At 38.2% G+C, this 4,962-nt stretch overlaps 1 pseudogene; it reads right to left on the reverse strand.

Annotated features, from left to right (window-relative positions):
* Positions 1-417: 417 nt before the first annotated feature.
* LOC124905274 (uncharacterized) lies at positions 418-527 on the reverse strand (annotated as a pseudogene).
* Between the last annotated feature and the right edge of the window lie 4,435 nt (positions 528-4,962).

Raw genomic sequence — 4,962 nt, forward strand, 5'->3', positions numbered from 1 at the left:
ATGTTGGCCAGGCTGGTCTCGAACTCCTGATCTCAAATGATTCACCTGCCTCGGCCTCCCAAAGTGCCTGGATTACAGTTGTGAGCCACCGTGCATGGCCTACCGAACCGTTTTCTGTAGTGGGTGCACTATTTTCACATTCTCACCAGCAGTGTAAGAGGGTTCTAATTTCTCCACATCCTCAGCAACACTTATTTTCGATTTTTTTTGTTTATAACCATTGCAGTGGGTATGATGTAGTATTTCATTGTGGTTTTGATTTGCATTTCTTTAATAACTAATGATGTTGAGTATTTTTAATGTGCTTATTACTGGTATATTGTCTTTGGAGAAATATTTATTCAAGTCTTTGCCATTTTTGAATTGGGTTGTTTGGGCACCTTTTAGATATGTTACTTTTTTCTCTTCTTTTTTTCACGTCAGATAGGTAATGTGCCTACCTTCTACTCCTAACAAGGTTTGAGGGAGGCACATCTCACATATATGTGTGAAAAACCAATCATCGCACTCATGAACCACAAAAGGATTTAGTCAGTTCCAGCAATGGAGCAGTGTAAATTATTCTCAACAAGAAAAATGAAACAAATTTTTAAAATTAGAAACAAACTTGAAGATACATTTTCTAGGAACTATGGAGAGTAAAGTATATATCCTAAGCGAAGAGGAAGAAACAGAGAAAAATAAAAGAACCAGAAAGCTTCAGGGAGATGAAGAGACCATAAGAGATGCTATTCCTTTAGTTGGGATAACTAGGCTGCCATGGCTATATGGTGTTTGACTAACTGAGTGTTGGGCGAGGGGTGTGGGACAAGACTGTAAATTGAGGATAAAAGAAAATCAGGAAGAACTATTAAGTCGAAGTGATAACAGATATAAAGATTAGCATTCTAATGAAACATTGGTATTTGGTTAGAGTAAGATATGTTGTGCAAATAAAATTGCATCCTGGAGTTCACTTGTTTGGCATTTGTGTGGCATTTTCAGGCCAGGCGTGGTAGCTCATGCCTGTAATCCCAGCACTTTGGGAAGCCGAGGCGGGCAGATCACCTGAGGTAGGACGTTCGAGACCAGCCTGGCCAAGATGGTGAAACCCTGTCTTTACTAAAAATACGATAATTAGTTGGGCATGGTGGTGCATGGCTGTAATCCTAGCTACTACTCTGGAGGCTGAGGCAGGAGAATCGCTTGGACCCAGGAGGTGGAGGTTGTGGTGAACCGAGATCATGCCACTGCTCTCCAGCTTGGGCGACATAGCGAAACTCTGTCTCAAAAAAAAAAAAAGTGTTTTCAGATTTCGTTATTATTTAAGTTTATTATATGCTTTTGATATGAACAAGGTAAAAGAAAGATAATATCTCTACTTCAATGAAACAAGTCTTAGCTTATGTCTTATAGATCAAACCTTGAGGGCTGTGGCATACAACTGCCATCTGGTGACAGTATGTTCGCATAGCAGCGTTAGGTATTTAATACATTAAAAAAAAAACCTACTTGTGGGCAGACTTTGCAAAACTAAAGTCATGATATAATAGTTAAGGGTCCCAGGGGTCTAAATTAATAAGATGTTTTATTTAAAAAAGATAACATATAGGCCAGCCATGGTAGCTCACGCCTATAATCCCAGCACTTTGGGAGGTCGAGGTGGGCAGATCACTTGAGGTCAGGAGTTCAAGACCAGCCTGGCCAACATAGTAAAACCCCATCTCTACTAAAGTACAAAAATTAGTTGGGAGTGATGGCGCATGCCTGTAACCCTAGCTACTGGGGAGGCTGAGGCAGGAGAATCACTTGAACCTGGGAGGCGGAGGTTGCAGTGAGCCGAGATTGGGCCATTGCACTCCAGCCAGGGCAACAGAGTGAGACTCTGTCTAAATTAATAAATAAATAAATAGTCTTTTTAAAAAAAGAACATAACGTGTCAACCTCTGATAATACTTCTTTATGGAAATCAAAGTGATGCAGAGACTGTTCCTGTTTATTATTGGCAAAATGGAATTTTTTATGGACACAGTTTATAAATTGTGAATGGTTTCGTTGTCTTAGTGATTTGATTTACATTTGAATATACTGTAAACGTACACGGCTGAGAAAGTGATTAAATTTTTAAAAAAGAATTGCATCTGAGAGGAGACATTTTGTAAGCTGTGAGTCTCTCATTTTAAAGTTTATAGTCATTTCAACAAAATCAAGCATCCTTTTTTCCATTGTGTAGTTCAATCTTTTTCTTTTTTCTTTTCTTTCTTTCTTTCTTTTTTTTTTTTTTTTTTTGGCCTGGCCATTTTCTCTCAAAAGATCAACCATTTTCTATGTCATGTAAAGGTTCTTAATGCTTTTAGAATTTATTTTACTTGAAGAAATAAGTTCGATAAGTCAAACCCCAAGATGATTTCAGGAGTAATAGACTTTCTTTTGAAAATAGGTATAATACTGGTTGCACAAATGTAAATGATCTGCTCCAATCATCTAAAGTCTGTAAGTTTGGTAGGGACAGACGACCCAATCTCCGGCTGTCTTCTCTTTTGAGTCCAATTGTGAAAGCTTGTCTTTTACTAGTCTCATTTTAATTAGCTGATAACGAGAAACAATGATGAAGTGGCCCGAGGGAAAGCTCCGAGCTATCCAACTGAACATCACAAGACTGGCTCTAGAGTCTAAGAAAAGCTAAAGTATTGCTTAGTTTTTTTTTATTTTTATTTTTTAACTTTCTTTTCTTTTTGTTTTTGTTTTTTTCTTTGAGACAGAGTCTTGCTCTGTCGCCGAGACTGGTGTCTAGTGGCGCAATCTCGGCTCACTGCAACTTCTGCCTCCCAGGTTTGAGATTCTCTTGCTTCAGCCTCCTGAGTAGCTGGGATTACTGGCATGCACCACCATGCCTGCCTAATTTTTGCATTTTTAGTAAAGACAGGGTTTCACCATGTTGGCCAGGCTGGTTTCGAACTCCTGACCTTAGGTGATCTGCCCACCTCGGCCTCTCAAAGTGCTGGGATTATAGGCGTGAGCCTATATTGCTTAGTTTTAAAGTAAAAAAAAGAAAATAACTCGGGGACAATTAGAGTTAGGAAGAAAGGAGAGTCTTAAATACCTTCCTAATTACACTGGTCTGGGAAGTTTGCTTAAGAAATTTTATAATTTTATAAATTATAATGGAATGCCATTTTCCTGAGGAAAACAGTCTATTTTGTTGAAATACCTTAGTTGAATTTGTAAGTGACTTTTAAATCTTCTTGTAGCTCCCTTTGTGAGCAATTACCTACCTATTTCTTTGGTTCATAGTAAGGAGTTACAGGCAAGAGAGGAAGGTATGGTGTCGGGGGAAGATTTATTCAGGCATCCACAGGAAACTCCTTGGGACATTTCCCTGAATCTTACCTCCATTATAAGCGATCAAGGCTTATTATGAGCCTTAATTGATACTTTACACATTTATCCAGTACTAGGCCTCTAACATCTTTAGTGTTAGCTTGAATAAAGTGAGTAAATAGTCAACAGTCTTAAAAATAGACTGATGTCTGCTTTTATCCATCTGTTTTTTACCCATCTGAAGCAAGTAGTTTGATGATAATGTTCCCCAATAATCAGTAGTTGGGAGTCAAATGGACACCTTGCTATCCATAATTTTAGTATGTCTTCACAGTAATGTCTGGATATCCTCTATTTTCTGCTGCTATAGACACCACACAAGTGTAGCTCTTAGTATAAAAATTGCAACAATTAAGTGGTTTTCTGTGCCCCCACTTCTGTCGCATCTGGCCCATCTGGTATGGAGGTAAGTTAAATCCATTTTTGCCGACATCATTTTCTCTTACCCAAGTTCTTAGAATGTTTACAATTTATGTAATATAGCAAATCCAAATTCACTGTTCTGAGGTTCATTCATGTTGATCTCTTGTGGCACTAGTTTTTGGATTCCTGAGCCACCATGTAAGAATACACTTACCCTACTAAAGGGATCACATAAAGAGAAGGAGAGTTTTAGTTGAGACCAGTCTTTAAAGCCATCCCCTACAAGAGACCGGGTATGTGAGTGAATTTGTCTTGGACCCTGCAGACCAGCTCAGCTGCTGAGTACCATTGAGTAACTTCAAGAGAAGGGCAGAGGAATTGGCCAACTGATCCCTGCCTGGATTTCTTACCCACAAAATTATGAGACATAATACTTTTTTTTGGTTTTAAGTTTTAGGGATGGTTTGTTACATTGCAATAGATAAAATAAAACCTAGCTAGCTTTCTACTCTTCCTTCAAGAGTTAGTTTAGGCTTCGTATCTAGGAAACATTTTCAGTTTTCCTTTTTAAGTGCCCTTCCCAGTTTGGATTAGGTGCACATTTTCTTTGTTCCCATGTCATATGAGTACTTCTTACACTGTATTCTATATTTCTAAGTTTATGCTATGTGCTCCACTAAACTGTGGGCTTTTTTAGGGTATGTCTTATTCCCCTTTGTGAGAGGAACTTACCCCAGGACTTAGCACATAGTGGCTATTCAAAATAATAACTAAATCATAGAATCTCAGGGTTGGAAGGACTTTGGATGTCATTTTAAATAATTTGATCTACCAAATGTTTGTTCCTTCAGCCTGTGTGAGAAGTCCCTCTCATGATGAGAACTTATTACTTCTGGAGGCGGCTTATCTTTAAACAGCTCAGACTATGAGCACATGCTTGTCAGCTTAACACTCTCCCTCTCCAATAATTTTTTTCATTCCAGTTCATCTCAAGGCTCATATACTTGTTAATATGTTCATTTGTGTTCACTTACCATAAGCTTTTTAGTGTTTATACCATGTGTACCTAACTGCATTATAAGCTTCAAATAAGGTAGCTATCTTAGACATATTTTCTTTTCCCTGCTGGAATGTGCTCCACCCAGAAGTAACAATTTCTGCTCTTAGCTGATAGACCAGTAGAATGAACTGGGTAAGAAAAAGAAAAATCACAAAAAAGAAAAACAAAAAATAAGAATG

The sequence above is a fragment of the Homo sapiens genome, chromosome X (genome assembly GCF_000001405.40).
Source record: "Homo sapiens chromosome X, GRCh38.p14 Primary Assembly".
NCBI lineage: Eukaryota > Metazoa > Chordata > Mammalia > Primates > Hominidae > Homo > Homo sapiens.